Source organism: Homo sapiens, chromosome 10, assembly GCF_000001405.40.
Source record: "Homo sapiens chromosome 10, GRCh38.p14 Primary Assembly".
In the NCBI taxonomy this organism is placed as follows: Eukaryota; Metazoa; Chordata; class Mammalia; order Primates; family Hominidae; genus Homo; species Homo sapiens.
In genome coordinates, this window is record NC_000010.11 from 70,221,316 (window position 1) to 70,237,684 (window position 16,369).

The 16,369-nt window shown below is 43.4% G+C and overlaps 1 protein-coding gene across 1 annotated transcript in view, besides 3 other annotated features; it reads right to left on the reverse strand.

Moving 5' to 3' along the window:
- PPA1 (inorganic pyrophosphatase 1) overlaps window positions 1–12,114 on the reverse strand; it is a 30,595-nt gene extending 18,481 nt beyond the window's left edge. Inside the window, exons 1-2 of the mRNA NM_021129.4 lie at window positions 11,949–12,114; window positions 9,026–9,084 (exon numbers count right to left, since the gene is read on the reverse strand). Of these exons, the coding sequence (NP_066952.1) occupies window positions 9,026–9,084; window positions 11,949–12,012 (123 nt within the window). The 5' untranslated portion in view covers window positions 12,013–12,114. The remainder of the gene's footprint in view (window positions 1–9,025; window positions 9,085–11,948) is intronic.
- Window positions 425–925: an enhancer, noted in NCBI's record as "H3K4me1 hESC enhancer chr10:71981496-71981996 (GRCh37/hg19 assembly coordinates)". NCBI's record gives its function as "activates a minimal SCP1, AML or CMV promoter by ChIP-STARR-seq in naive H9 embryonic stem cells {active_cell/tissue: H9 hESC(naive)}" and the evidence as "EXISTENCE:reporter gene assay evidence [ECO:0000049][PMID:30033119]".
- Window positions 926–1,426: an enhancer, noted in NCBI's record as "H3K4me1 hESC enhancer chr10:71981997-71982497 (GRCh37/hg19 assembly coordinates)". NCBI's record gives its function as "activates a minimal SCP1, AML or CMV promoter by ChIP-STARR-seq in primed H9 embryonic stem cells {active_cell/tissue: H9 hESC(primed)}" and the evidence as "EXISTENCE:reporter gene assay evidence [ECO:0000049][PMID:30033119]".
- Window positions 11,756–12,325: a silencer, noted in NCBI's record as "silent region_2443". NCBI's record gives its function as "represses an Ori minimal core promoter by ATAC-STARR-seq in GM12878 lymphoblastoid cells {active_cell/tissue: GM12878}" and the evidence as "EXISTENCE:reporter gene assay evidence [ECO:0000049][PMID:35858748]".

A 16,369-nucleotide genomic window follows, 5' to 3' on the forward strand; every position in this document is an offset into this window, starting at 1 on the left:
CAAAAGTGTAGAACTTCTGTCATTTTAAGTTCCTGCTGAAACCATGGGAGACTAAAGCATCCATAGGTTTCTGCTCCAAGCCTCCTGATACCTCACTTACCCAATACAACATAAAAACCAAAAGAATGGAGATATTACTTAAATCTAGGACTGAAGAAACTGCTCTATCCCTGTTTCCCTCTAAAATAACCAGATGGTTTAGAAAATGTAACACTAATTATTAATCCTGGGTAGAAAACCTCAGAACCAATCTTTGACTAAATTTCACCTTGTCCACTAGGTTTTCAAGTATTTTGTCCACTTCTCAGGTGTAAAAACGAGAGATCTGTAGGTCTGTGAAAAGAACAAGTCAGGGCTTTCGGTTTCCAGCAGCAGTACCCTAAAGATTCACAAGATGGAGCTGTTACGACATGAAAGATCAACTGAAGAGCTCGCCAAGATTAGCTGTTAATTTCGTTAAAACACCACCAAATGAATACATTGCTTCAAGAAAGATATAGCAGATAGAGCTAAAATAACTAATTCAAAGTTTAGAAACTATATTGAACACTTTAATAGCAGTAAATGACAAATATGTATAGATCCTCAAAACAGTATTACCTAATAACATAAATCTACATAATTAATGGGAAGGAAAAAAATAACAAGGAAGAAAACATCCTTCAGAAAATGGTAAGAGAATTCTGCTGCGAACAAAAGCTTGAAGGTCTGGTGCTTTTTAGAAATTAGCTGGGTGAGGCCGGGGGGTGGTGGCTCACACCTGTAATCATAGCACTTTGGGAGGCCGAGGTGGGCGGATTATGAGGTCAGGAGATCGAGACCATCCTGGCTAACACAGTGAAAAACCGTGTCTACTAAAAATACAAAAAAATTAGCTGGGCGTGGTGGCAGGTGCCTGTAGTCCCAGCTACTCGGGAGGCTGAGGCAGGAGAATGGCGTGAACCTGGGAGGCGGAGGTTGCAGTGAACTGAGATCACACCACTGCACTCCAGCCTGGGCCACAGAGCAAGACTCCGTCTCAAAAAAAAAAAAAAAAAAAAAAAAGAAATTAGCTGGGCGAAAAACAACAAGGAGTACCTGCAAAAGCCAGAGTCAATTCATTGATTTTTTTCAACAAATATTTGTTGTGAACCACCAGGATGTGCCAGGCACTTTTCTAGGCTCCGAAGACTAGCAATGAACAAAATAAAAGTTCTTTTAACTCCCAAAGAGTTGGATTTCCAAATCAGGTACTTCCTGCTGGTAGCATTGGTGGTTCAGGGGTAGAATTCTCGCCTGCTAAATCAGGTACTTCCAGTTTGTAGGCCTCAGGCTACAGCTTGGGGTGAGTGACTCATCTGTAAAATCAATGTTTAGCACACTTTTTTTTTATTATTATACTTTAAGTTTTAGGGTATATGTGCACAAAGTGCAGGTTTGTTACATATGTATACATGTGCCATGTTGCATGTTGGTGTGCTGCACCCATTAACTCATCATTTAGCATTAGGTATATCTCCTAATACTATCCTTTCCCCCTCCCCCCACCCCACAACAGGCCCCGGTGTGTGATGTTCCCCTTCCTGTGTCCACGTGTTCTCATTGTTCAATTCCCACCTATGAGTGAGAAATGCGGTGTTTGGTTTTTTGTCCTTGCAACAGTTTGCTGAGAATGATGGTTTCCAGCTTCATCCATGTCCCTACAAAGGACATGAACTCATCATTTTTTATGCATGGAATACTAGCACACTTTCAAATGCATGTAGATGCTGTAGTAATACTTGTCTCAGCCAGGCGTGGCGACTAACGTCTATAATCCTAGCACTTTGGGAGGCAGAGGCAGGAGGACCGCTTGAGGCCAAGAGTTCAAGACCAACCTGACCAACATAGCAAGACCCTGTCTCTTAAAAAACATTTTTTTAAAGAGAGAGAGAGAGAGAGACGGGGTCTCACTCTGTCATCCAGACTGGAGTACAGTGACGCAATCATAGCTCACTGCAGCCTCCAACTCCTGGTCTCAAGCAATCCTCCTGCCTCAGCCTCCTAAGTAGCTGGGCCTACAGGTGTGCACCACCACACCTGGCTAATTGTTTTTTAATTATGTTTTTGGAGATGAAGTCACACTATGTTGAGCAGGCTGGTCTCTAATTCCTAGCCTCAAGTGATCCTCCTGCCTATGCATCCCTAGTAGCTGGGACTACAGGTGCAAGCCATCCTGCCCAGCTCTGTACTTGTAAGGAGGGGGTGTTCCACATACTTTAGCAGGAATTACTACTAAAGAACAACCTTCTTCTAGACATCTGGCTACAATTCAAAGAGTTGCTACTAGGTGAACAACAGTGATATTTAGGATTTTTCAGGGCAACTGATATGAGAAATTCAATGAATTTTATAGCAACAGAGTTGCTATAAAAACTATTACTGTTTTTATGCATTCTAATGATTCCAATATTCACGCACTTAAAAAATACTGATTTTAAGAAATTTCGTACTACCCAGTTACAAATTCATTCCTTCTTCTTTAATCCCAACTGGTTTCAGCTTTTACTTAGCTGGATCTTGGATTTACTATCTTGTTACTCCCACTGTTAGGACTTCCCAGAACTCCATCCTCCAATCCTACCATGCTTTGGAGTCTCAGTCATTGCTCTGGCATCAGAGCTCTCAGCTCTCTGTTAACAGTTTCAGAAAAGAAGGAAGTTAAGTCTCCCTAGAGGGATGATTTTGATAAACTCAATAATTACCTTGCTGATAAACCAGTGGGGGATAAGGGAAAAGGCAAACTATAACTTTAGCTCTTGTTCCCAAAGTCAGAAATATAACTGTCTATTTCAGGCCAGGTATGGTGGCTCGTGCCTGTAAACCTAGCACTTTGGGAGGCTGAGGCAAGAGGATTGCTTAGACTAGGAGTTCAAGACCAGCCTGAGCAACATAGACAGACCCTGTCTCTACAAAAAAAAAAAAAAAAAAAAGTCTATTTCCCTTCCCAGATTTACAATCATTTTATCAAGTAGTCAAGATGTTACAACAAAACATTAAAGATGTCCAGATTCTAAGGAAACTGGAAACTCAACAACTCTACATTATGTCACTCCATTAATCAAAAATATTTAAAATAAAAATGTTTCAGGAATAGAAGAAATATCTCCTATATCTTGGTTAGGTGTGTAACTTCACTAATTAAACAGGAATATTAATCACAGTAGTATGGTGAGGCCCCGTCTCATCTCCAAACTGGTTAGGGTCTTATGGACCAAGTCAGTAGTCTGACAAGTTGTTTACTAATAAATAGGCTACGGCCATTTGGTAGGCTGTTATTACTAATGCAGTTAAGTACATATATAGGGAACATGCTCTTAATTTAATTACAGCACGTCTTTAAATCCTAGCAGTTAAGTTCAATGTGTCTTTATTGAGACTTATTTCTTATTTATTTATTTTATTTTATTTTTTGAGACAGAGTTTCGCTCTTGTTACCCAGGCTGGAGCACAATGGTGCAATCTCGGCTCACTGCAACCTCCGTCTCCCGGGTTCAAGCAATTCTCCTGCCTCAGCCTCCCGAGTAGCTGGGATTACAGGCATGCACCACCATGCCCAGCTAATTTTTGTATTTTTAGTAGAGACAGGGTTTCTCCATGTTGGTCAGGCTGGTCTCGAGCTCCCGACCTCAGGTGATCCGCCCACCTTGGCCCCCCAAAGTGTTGGGATTACAGGCATGAGCCACCGCGCCCAGCATTGAGATTTATTTCTAACCCTGGATTTGGTAAATTCGATGAACTATACTACAGAATTATACCAAGTGGCTGACATTAGCATTTTCAAGTTGACTCATTGTGTGTTTCTCTAGATAACTTCAGAAATCTAGTAAATACCAGGCTTAGAAAGAAACACAAAAATCACCCTGTGGTCCCACCACTCTTATTTATTTATTTATTTATTTAGAGACAGAGTCTCACCTGTCACCCAGGCTGAAGTGCAGTGGCATGATCTCAGCTCACTGCAACCTCCGTCTCCGGGGCTCAAGTGATCCTCCTACCTCTGCCTCCTGGACCACAGGCACCTGCCACCACACCCAGCTAATTTTTTTTTTTCTATTTTTGGTAAAGACCGGGTTTCACCATGTTGCTGAGGCTGGTCATGAACTCCTGAGCTCAAGCAATTCGTCCACCTAGGCTGCCCAGAGTGCTAGAATTACGGGCATAAGCCACGGCACCCAGCCCACCCCCCATTTTTTAATCTTTATTGTTTTGCAATAAAATTTGGAGAAAAAACAGTAGAGGTAGAGAGAATTTTCTTCTAAATTTATCTAGAGCATAAACATAAAGCAAGAAACTAATCCAAACCAAGCTTTAACTTTTTTTTTTTTTTTGGAACTTATAGACTAGTTTTGGAGTATAAAATCCCTATCAGAAGAGCTCACGTAGTTAAAAGAAAATGTTCCATCCCCATAAAGATGCTTTCGAAAAGGTATACCAGATTTCACCATTTCCAAGAATACTTTATCTTATTCACTGCTCACCAAATGACAATGGCTCTTAATTCTAAGTTTTGGCTGTAAAGTTGGTTATATGATTCTAGAAGGATATACTCTAAGTTGTTAAAAGTATATGGATACCTGAAGTATTTCATCGAAAGTGACAGAAGTCTATTTGAGAAGCTATCAGAAAGAAATACGATGACCGAAGTTCACACTGTTGTGCCCCTTATTCACTTAGAATTGTGACTTAGCAAAGAAAGACATGACTTACACCAACCCAAAAAACATTTGTTCAACAAATTGTGTTAAGATTCCAAGGGAGATCATTAACTTATTAAAGTAAAGAAATTAAAACACATACACACAAAACTTTTAGTAATACTCATTTGTTTTCCAGTTACATAGATTTTCTACTCATTGCAGCTCAAACAAATGCCTGTATTTGCTACTACACACTACCATATGTACCTGTGTAGAGCAATAACTTAATTTGTCATGTCATAATTAAGAATAAGCTGCTGGCTGGGTGTGGGAGCGCACACCTGTAATCCCAGCACTTTGGGAGCTGAGGTGGGTGGACTGTTTGAGCTCAGGAGTTCGAGACCAGCGAAAGCCTGTCTCTACCAATACAAAAAAATTAGCCAGGTACGGTGGTGTGTGCCTGTAGTCCCAGCTACTCAGGAGACTGAGGTGGGAGGATTGCTCGAGCCCAGGAGATGGAGCCTGCAGTGAGCCAAGATCACAGCACTGCATGGGTGACAGAGTGAGACCCTGTCTTAAAAAAAAAAAGAAAAAGAAAGAAAAAGCTGCTATTTTTGCTATTTTTTCTTTTCAGATAAGCTTTATGATGACTAAATTTTGAAAACAGATATTCTAAGCATAATCTGTTTATTTTCCTGTCTTTACAAAATCAAGCAAAAGGGTCTGCATTTCCAGTTGTCAAACTTTTCTGTTTTGCAATGACTAATAATTTTGAGCGTGGAAACTTCCCCAAGAAAAATGCATTTATGCCAAATTGCAGATAATATTCTGTTAAGTTTCTGAAGCATCAATCTATTTGATTAGAGGCTTGACTTTCTTTCAGAAGGGGAAAAAAGAAACACATATTCCATATTTATATATGCTTCTATACGCTCCCAACAATCACCTGAAAAAAATAGAACCCTACATTGTCAGAACTAGAATTTAACATGAAAGTTTAAGATATGGAATAGAAAAATATCTGATTTCTAAAACTAAAAAATCAGGTCATGATATTTGAGCACTTTAAGATTTAGAGAAAGCTTTTATCTACCCAGTGTTTCATACTGTTTATACCATGTTTTGGAAAATTTCTGGTATCTCAGAAGTTTTATGTTAGAAGATACTCTGAGCTATAGGTGCTTTTATATTTGATCCTAAAATTGACCCAGAGCAAAGGACATCCCTACAATTTAAAAATATCCAGTGAGCCCTTGCCTTTACCTTCTCTACCCACTGGATTCGGAAATAATCAAAGCAGGGTACGCGAGTCACAAGATTTTCCAGAACTGGCTGGACTGATTACCTAATGGCATATGCCAAACTGAATATCCACATTAAAAGGTCCTGATATGGGTTGGACACAGTGGCTCACGCCTGCAACCCCAGCACTTCTGGAGGCTGAGGTGGGCAGATCGCTTGAAACCAGGAGTTCGAGACCAGCCTGGGCAACATAGGGAAACCCTGTCTCTACAAAAAAATAGAAAAATTAGCTGGGCGTGGTGGTGTATGCCTGTGGTTCCAGCTATTCAGGAGGCTGGAGCAGGAGGATCACTTGTGCCTGAGAGGTTGAAGCTGCAGTAAGCCAAGATCATGCCACTGCACACCAGCCTGAGTGACAAAGTGAAACCCTATCTCAAAAAAAAAAAAAAAAAAAAAAAAAGTCTGATATGGATATGAGCCCTTGGGCATTTTTCCTTAGTCTGATATCAATATGAGCCCTTGGACATTTTTCCTTAGTGGAGCTGACTGAGCTGTGTTAAAGGTACATGCTCACTAGATCATGACATTCCCTCATTATAATCCCTCGGATGACTGACCATATTAGGAATAAAGTCCAAGGCCAAGCCCGTGAGAATGTATTCATGTAAACTTAATCACAATAGATTTTTTATACAAAAGAAAGAAAATCACACTCTAATGAATCAAGTTAATCAGATTTTTTTTTTAAGGCTATAATCCAAAATGATGTCTACCACACCTTTATTTGTGTTTTAAACAAGTAACTTCCTTTAAAACAAAACAAAAGAATTCCTTCCAGCCTCTCAGGCAGGAAGGCTTCTGCCCAAGGTCCACTGAGGTCTAGACTACTGGTAAAATCCAGAGTCATAAGAACTTGTGCTTTTGAGCTGGGACAGGGCGTGCCAAGGGCAGAGTCTTCCTTTGAGTAATCCACTTTATAGACACAACCAGTCCCTTATAAGGCTTCAGTGTCTGAGAGTAATCTAAGTGAACACACTTAACAGGACACCAAAATGTAGCCTGTTTCCTATTTTGGAGTAACCTGAAGCAGCAATAAGAGTAGGTACCAAAACATCTATGATCATTCTGGTCCTTGGTAGGAATACAGTCACTTAGAACACTGGGAAAATAGCTCTATGTCAAGAAAATGTTTTCCTACCTGTAGCATACCTGTATGCCAGGGTATTATCAATAAACTTAGGGTCATCATTTTATACCTCTTCATTGCTCAAAATGGTCTGAGATGCTACAGTATGATATACATGCTATTATACAACAAGCAGATAATTCAAGCCAACCCAATGGGGCCAATTGAAGAGGGAAGGATTCTGCAGTTTATATCAACTCCCAGGAAATCAGATGTAACAAATTCGAGTTTCTGAATAAATACCACTCTGACACTCCCACAGGAAAAACACATGCCAATTAGAAGTCCCTCCTGTATTTGTGGCACATAATTGGCCTAGGGCTGTTTGCTCCATTGCCTCTAATTGGAGTCTTACCCAGGAAGGCTCCTGGGAAGCAATGTAAAAATTGGAATTTCAGGCAGTACAGAACTGCAGCAAACTTCCTGGTAGAAGTGCAATGAATGTGTCTATTTCTATCTAATAGTCAGGCCCAGAAAAACAGTAAGACAGCACACACAAGAACAAAATTACTATTATTCTAGACGTGCACTGCAAAGTGATGTTCGTGTTGTATATTGACATCTAGCTAAAGAAAGTCAATAACCTATGTAACTCTTACAACTCAAAAACCTTTGTACTCAATGTGAATCAAACTTCCTTACTGAAGGAAAAAAACTGAAAGGTAGAAAAAGAATAAGATATTTGTCCTTGTGTTAAGTTGCTAAATACAGTACAAACTGCTTCCATTGGAAAGGAGAGTAAGAAAAGATGTGTTTTTTAAAATGACTGTTTAAAGTTGTTCTTATAACACATGTTCTTTGTAAAAAGATTAGACAATATAAAAAGACAAAAATGAAAATAAAACCAAGAGTCACTGGCAGTCCCACGAATCATAACTATTTTGATATATATTTTATTGTTATTTATTTTCCTAAGACAGGTTCTTGCTATGTTGCCCAGTCTGGTCTCAAACTCCTGGACTCAAGTGATCCTCCCAGCACAGCCTCCCAAGTGGGATTACAATTGCCCCACACTCAGCTATTCTGGTGTATACAGTTGTAGACTTCTTTTTCCCCTAGAAAAGTAAAGACTTTTACAATTTGTGGTAAGCCTACCAATCTGTATTAAAGTTAGGTTTCTTCTCACTGGTGTATACAGGAACAGCTATGTCCTTTTAGAAGTCTGTGTGCCTACCTGTATTAACTCTATCTTAACTGTGCAAATCTTAACGGTACTAGCCCGTTACTAAATTTTCCTATACTCATTGAATAATCTAGTTTACTTTTACTGTTTCATAAAGATCCCACAGCCAAAATTCTGTGCTGGCTACCTGGTTTATTTTAGAACCAGTAATGAAGTATTACGACTTTAGTTCCAAATACACATACAAAAAGGACCAATGTAATTTTTTCTTTTTTTTTTCCAAGACAGATTAAATACTTTTGCTTTTACTCCTCCTCTCCTTCCCCAAATTATATTTGCTCCTTTAACTAAATAATCTAGTTTTAAGACTAACTTCTTATTTAGTCAATGGACCTTTTTTTTTGAGACAGGGTCTCACTCTGTCACCCAGCTGGAGTACAGTAGTGCCATCTCGGCTCACTGCAACCTCTGCCTCCCAGGCACAAGCGATCCTCTCACCTCAGCCTTCCAAGTAGCTGAGACTACAGACACATGCCACCATGCCCGGCTAATTTTTGTATTTTTTGTAGAGACAGGGTTTCACCATGTTGCCCAGGCTGTTCTTGAACTTCTGGACTCAAGCCCTCCACCCGCCTCAGCCTCCCAAAGTGCTGGGATTACAGGCGTGAGCCACCACGCCCAGCCTAATCAACAGACCTTTAGCTCACAGCACAACGAGGCATTTTAAGCACTTGTTGAGAGACATATAAGAAAATTCATATGTAGAACTAGCTGATCTGAGTAAAGAGACTGTGTCCAAAAACAAGGATGCCTTACCTTATCTGCATAAATTGGAATATCATGAAATGGAGATATATATTGTCCTTTCTCATTTTCTGCAAAATAAATTAGAAAAAGTTATTACTATAATTAATTGTATTGCTAAATGCCCACAGTACACATTTTTTTTTTCTGAGATAAGGTCCCTTACTCTGTCACCCAGGATGGTGTGCAATGGTGTGATCTTGGCTCACTGCCACTTCTGTTTCCCTCTTGAAGGCTCAAGTGATCCTCCAGCCTCAGCCTCCTGAGCCGCTGGAACTACAGGCATGAGCCACTACGTCTGGCTAATTTTTGTGTCTTTTGTAGGGAGGTGGTGTTGCCATGTTCCCCAGGCTGGTCTCCAACTCCTGAGCTCAAAGCAGTCTGCCCACCTCAGCCTCCCAAAGGGCTGGAATTACAGGGGTGAGCCACCGCACCCTGCACCCGACCAGTACACATTTTTAAACCAAGATATTATTCTTACACTAGAAAAACTGTTTGTATACTTCACTTCTCCTGACTGTACTCCCAGGCTAGGCTGGGTTTACATCCTATGCACTCTGTAGGCATCTAATAAGTACTAATCTCTATAGTGAGAGCAGAGACTACTGAGGACACAAAAGGCGATTAAATTGTTTTGGACTGATCTTACATCAGTTAAGTTTACAGAACCATTATGAAGTACTTGGGAGGAAGGGAGGGGACCACTTTACTAAACAATGTTGCTAAAAGTGGTGTTCCCAGAGACAGCCAGCCATCTTAGATTATGACTTTCTTTAAGGATAATCAAGTTGCAACAAACATCTTCACAAATAATTTCTATTATATTCTAGATATATATTACTAATATATTCTAGAGGCCTAACTATAGCCAAAAAGTAATTTTAAAACTTCTTCAGTATTCTTTAGGAAACCTACTGTCCACATCGCATCCCTTCAAGTTTAAAAATCAAAGTGGAGGCCAGGCACGGTGGCTCACGCCTGTAATCCCAGCACTTTGGAAGGCCAAAGCAGGTGGATCACTGGAGGTAAGGAGTTCAAGACCAGCCTGGCCAACATGGTGAAACCCCGTCTCTACTAAAAATACAAAAATTAGTCAGGCATGGTGGCAAGTGCCTGTAATCCCAGCTACTTGGGAGGCTGAGGCAGGAGAATCACTTGAACCCGGGAGGCTGAAGTTGCAATGAGCCAAGATCATGCCACTGCACTCCAGCCTGGGCAACAGAGCGAGACTTTGTTTCAAAAAACAAACAATAAAACATAAAAGTCCCTTTAGGGCCAATTGTGACTTTGCAGTCTGTCCAGCCCTTTATCAGTTTTAAAGAAATTGACAAATGTAATATTATAAAGCTTAAAAAAGTTTATTTCTATTAAGGAAGGATAAAGCACTTAAAATTGGATAACTATGTAGTGGGTTCTAATTATTAGTATTTCTTAAGTTCCAGAGAGTTCCACTTGATAAAAACAGTTACTTCAGCTAGTGCCAAATTCTAGGAGTAGCTTTGGTCTCCCATAACGGCCACCAAATATTAATTGCAAATAAATAACCTAAGTAAAAGCAGTGTGTTTGTTCTGCATATATAGCTTGAAGATCCACCCCTCACCTTCAAACCAGACAGTCACCTCTGTAAGCCTTTCCTACAGAGAAATTCTGGAGCCAACACTATTTCCAGAAAAACAGTCCCATGAATTATTAGTCAAAAGTTACTGGACTGTCCTTGCTGCTTAATTGCAAAATTAAATAAAATGGAGAGTGGGGGGTAGTTCTCACCCTTCCTGGATTTTACCTGATAGTTAACCTTTGGCTAGATGTGTAAGCTTTACAGTTCGCTTTCCTTTTCCTCCCGCACCAGGCTACTTTTTGTTCCTTCAATGCCTATTCATTCGTCTCCTCTACTCCCCGCTTCCCCTTCCTTCATACACCAACTCAGAGTTCGAGGCACCTGCCCATTTCCTTCCAAATAAAACTGTAAAGAGGTTACAATAGAAGCGCCTGTGGTGACACATTTACGAACGCCTCCGTTATCGCCCATAATCTACTCCTAGTAGCTGGGGGTGGGGGGAGTAAGAGGATAAAGAAAAACCCCAAGTAGCTTTCCTCCACCTACAAGGCCAAAAAAACGTGGTGCCCTAAGGAGCGTGGAGGGCGCCAGCATGCAGCCTCCCGGTTTCCCCGTGCAGCCCTAGGTGCAGGACCCGGGGTAGGTACCCCCTAGACGCCGAATCCTGCAAAGGTAAAAACTTGGCACTTTCTCAGTCTTGTTTCCAGACTGACGTCATCTGTTTGATTTGAGGGAAACAGCTTTCTGTTTCATAAGGAGCATTCCCAGCATCGGCGCTGAGGGAAAACAGGCGGCGCAGAGGCAGGAGCACGACCGGGCCGCGGAGGACCGGTCCAGCGCCTTCACAGACGGCTCCCGATCCGGGCCTCAGTTTTCCCGTCTGTAAAACGAGGGGGTGGACTTGGCTCCGCTCAGCGCCGATAATCTGAGCTACGGCGGCGGAATTAAGGTCTTTAGGAAGTCACTGCCCCCCCCGGCCCGGAGTCGCCTTTTCTCCAAACTGAGCAATCCTCTTACGGGAATTATGTTACTTCCAAGCACCTTTCTAGGGTGGGTCGGTGATTTCCTTTTCCCAACAGACCCTGTCAGAGCCAGACACCTGCAAAACTAGCTGGGCCCAGGTTCGGGTACCCCGAGGCGTGACAAAGGGACCATCTCCGTTCAGCGGGGAGGGATGGCCGGAGGCGACCCTCGCCGCCCCGACCGGCGGCGGCAAGTATGCAATGTGAGGCCGGCCAGGCCCCACAACGCGCCCGAGGAGACGGGCCCGCGTCGGAGACCTGGGGCCGAGCGCGGGCCGCACCCTCCCGGGGAGGCAAGGCCCGGGAATGAATGGGCGGACGGGCGCGGAGGGGCCACGGGCCGCAGACACTCACTGAGGAAGACTCGGTACTCCAGGGAGAAGGGCGCGGCGCGCTCCTCGGTGCTGAAGCCGCTCATAGTGCCGGAGTCCTGCCGCCGCCGCTGCCACAGAGCCACCAGCCCGCACGCGGCGCCGACTGACAAGGAGAGAGCCCCACGCCTGCGCACTGCGAGCACTGGACCGGCGGGCGGGGCGGGGAGCGCCTTTAACGCGGCTCTGCTAGTGTTCCCACCCCCGCCGGGCCAACCCCGTGCGCAGGCGCACTCCGCCAGGCCCGGGTGTCCGCACTCCCCAGCCCCGCCCCTCGGGCCCAGCCTCCGCGATGGCAGCTAGGGCTCAGAGGCTGGGCCACGTGGCTGCCGCCGGCGCTGGTTCTGTTCCTTCGGCTTTGGGCTCTGACCCGGGAGGGCAAATGCGCAGGCTCTAAGCTTGGACTAGCTAGGAGTTGACCGCCGACCACGCACACAGGGAACTCACCTTTGATTCTCACACACTCCTCCCCGCAGTCCTATTCCTTATCTCAAAAGGCGTTGATAAGTCACCTGCTTCCCCAGACAGGCTCTGCTTGCGGTCTTAAAGGTGAGCATTTTTCTGATCCGTCGTAACAAAGTTGAGCCATATTACTGACACCCCTAGTGGCTACTAGTAAGGTACTCGCTTCTCCACTTTCTATAATCTCTCTCACTCCGTTGCTTATCTGGGAAGTGAAGATAATAATATAACTATTTCATGAGTTACTGGGATGATTACCCGAGTTAATACACGTCAAATGCCTGAAGCAGAGCCTGTATCTTTGTAAACAATCTGGAAGTTGTTACTGTCACCCTCCCCAGTGGGGGAGGATTTACGCCCCCGCGCCCCCCGCCCCCTCCATCCCCCCTGCCACCCTACTTAACCCACCTGGGTCTCCAGGGGCTTCAGATGGAAGCACTGGGAAGGTCCAGGCGTGAGCTAGAGTCCCGTGAAGGAGTGTTCTCAGGGACAGGCTCTTCTGATCTTGATTTCCTGTTTATATTCCATCATATCAGGCCAGACCCCAAAAACTAAAGTCTGATTGAGGCAGTGGGAAAATATTTGCATCACTTACCTCCCCAGGAATACATGTAAAAGAAAAAAAGTATATCCACAATCCTAAATATAAATTAGCAAATTATTATTCACATTTCAAAGAATGCCTGGTTTTATTTATTTATTTATTTTAATTTCATGGCCAGGATTTCTTTAAATAACTTTTTCTAGAACATTAAAGATAATGTGCCTTAATGACATTTTGAATTAAACCCTTTTTTCCAAACAATGTCTATTGTAAAAAATGAATATTAAATGAAAACCTAGTAAGATCTCCAGTTAGTTATGGTGTCGCTCCCTTTGTCTCCATCCAACTCCCAAACCTCACTGACACCCATTAATTTTCAGAAGGCTGTGATTCACTGATTTTTTGAACATTTCACCACACTGTTTTACTGCTGTTAAAACAGAAGGGCAGGAAAAAAAATTAGCGAAGCAATAGTTTAGTCAATAATTAGGGTCAAGGCCAGGCGCGGTGACTTACGCCTTCAATCCCAGCACTTTGGGAGGCCGAGGTGGGCGGATTACCCGACGTCAGGAGTTGGAAACCAGCCTGGCCAACACAGTGAAACCCTGTCCCTAGTAAAAATACAAAAATTAGCTGGGCGTGGTTGCACGCGCCTGTAATCCCAGCTACTCGGGAGACTGAGGCAGGAGAACACTTGATCCCGAGAGGCGGAGGTTGCGGTGAGTTGAGATCACGCCAGTGCATTCCAGCCTGGGTGACAGAGCGAGACTCTGTTTCAGAAAAAAAAGTAGGATCAAGTTCAAAGAATATTTTAAGGGGATGCTCTTTTGATTGAACTGCTCTATCACTTTTCTGCCTTTGAGCAGATGGAACCAATTTTCTTGGAAAAACCCAGACTCTCATCTGTGACTGACTTAAGAAGACAGCAGTGATGCAATAATAATGTTCTACATACACTTTCCCTTTGCCTCCTGCCAGCTCAGAGCAAGATAATAAAGTCTCACTGACCTCCAGACTTGCACACTGGCTCTTGTTTCATCGAATGTATTCAGAGAGCCAGTCATTATCAGGTCTGGTAAAACACCCAGCCCTGGTGAATTGTAACTTTCCTTTGCAGGCAAGTGTAGTGAGCCCATAGGCCCAAAAGGACCTTGGTCTACCATGTCTCCCTAGGGCCTAGCACAGTACACAGCCTAGAGTAGATGTTTAGTGAATCTTTGCTGGACGGATAGGTAGAGGAATTAATGTAAAGGTGGAAAATACCTTCTTAAGTACATTAGTTTGACAAAGAAGGAGTCCATCTCTTCTCAAATATTATCTTTCTCACTCAGTGACCAAATCTAGTGGCACTTTTCAGTCCATATCCTGTCCCCTTTGCTGTGGGTGACCCTGTTGGGTGTCTCTAATTTCCTTCTTTGGCTTGCGACTACATTCTCTTCTTTTTTTTTTTTTTCTTTTTTGAGACAGAGTCTCACTCTGTCACCCAGGCTGGAGTACAGTGGTGTGATTTCGGCTCACTGCAACCTCCACCTCCCAGGTTCAAGTGATTCTTGTACCTCAGCCTCCTGAGTAGCTGGGATCACAGGCATGCACCACCATGCCTGGCTAATTTTAGTATTTTTAGTAGAGATGTGTTTTCATCATGTTGGCCAGGCTAGCCTCGAACTCCTGGCCTCAAATGATCTGCCCACCTCAGCCTCCCAGAGTGTTGGGATTACAGGCGTGAGACACGGTGCCAGGCCACGACTACATTCTCTTCTCGTGTTCTTCCTACTTCTTTTTTTTTTTTTTTTGAGATGGGGTCTCGCTCTGTCGCCCAGGCTGGAGTGCGGTGGTGCGATCTCGGCTCACTGCAACCTCCGCCTCTCGGGTTCAAGCAATTCTCCCGCCTCAGCCTCCAGAGTAGCTGGGATTACAGGCGCCTGCCACCACGCCCAGCTAATTTTTTGTACCTTTAGTAGAGACCGGGTTTCACCATGTTGGCCAAACTGGTCTCGAAGCCCTGACCTCGTGATCTGCCTGCCTCGGCCTCCCAAAGTGCTGGGATTACAGGCATGAGCCACCACGCCCGGCCCATTCCTACTTCTTTGCTACTCATTTCTCATTCTCCTTCTCAGCCTTCATTTCATCATCTTAATCATCATTGTCTTTCTTATTTCTCATGTTCTCTCTCTCTCTCTAGAGCAATACTCTTTGTCTAGATTATCTCATGTATATCTCTGGCGTCAGCTACCACCTAGAGGTCCTATAACATGAAAACTTTCAAATCTATAACTAACTCTTATTTAACACTTACTGTGGTCATGCTCTGTGATAGGTGGGTAGGGATGTAGCCCTACTAGGCCTTATAGTCAGAACTTATAGTCTAGAAGAAAGACAGACTTCAACAAATAATTATAATAAATTTGGGTGAGTAGAATGATATAGGAAGTACAGGGCATTACATTATGGGAGCAGAAAACCTCTTCAAGGAAGTGACCTGTAACCTGCAATCTGAATGATGACATGGAATTAATAAGGCAAAGGGGACAAGGCAAAAGCCAGAAAACGGTTAGGTGAGACTAGGCCGGGCGCGGTGGCTCATGCCTGTAATCCCAACACTTTGGGAGGCCAAGGCCGGCGGATCACGAGCTCAGGAGTTCGAGACCAGCCTGACCAACATGGTGAAACCCGTCTCTATTTAAAAATATACAAAAATAAGCTGGATGTGGTGGCACGCACCTGTAATCCCAGCTACTCAGGAGGCTGAGGCAGGAGAATCTCTTGAACCCAGAAGGCAGAGGTTGCAGTGAGCTGAGATCACACCACTGCACTCCAGCCTGGCAACAAAGCAAGACTCCGTCTCAAAAAAAAAAAAAAAAAAAAAAGAAAGCGGTGAGACTAGAGAAATAGTCAGGGCCAAAAGCTAGAAAGCCTTGGAAGGCACGATATGAGGATTGAACTTTCTCCTAAGAGCAATGGGAAACTTAAGAAGGGTTTTTAATGGGAAAATAACATGATCAGAATTGCATTAAGAAAAGGTACTATCAGCAGCTTAGAACTTGGATTGAGGTTTAGTAAGACTAGAGGCAGGGAGACCAATGCAGTCCACTGCAGGGCCCCAGATGAAAGGTGATGGTGGTTTCCTGAACTTGGGCGGCAAAAGAGAAGGCTGATTACAGAGCTGTGTTCAAGGTAGAATCAATGGAATTATTGATTGAATAGTGTGGAAGAGGAGAGAGGTGGAGATCTGAGGATGAGTCCCAGGTTTCTGGCTACAAGAACTGGTTGAGTTGAATGGTATGTCATTTACTGAGAGAGAGTGGGTGAGATGGAGGGTATTAATACCAAACACTCCTAGCTCCCTGCCCAATGGCCATATTACCTTCTCTTTTCTAACAGAATCCTGATTTTGTTCA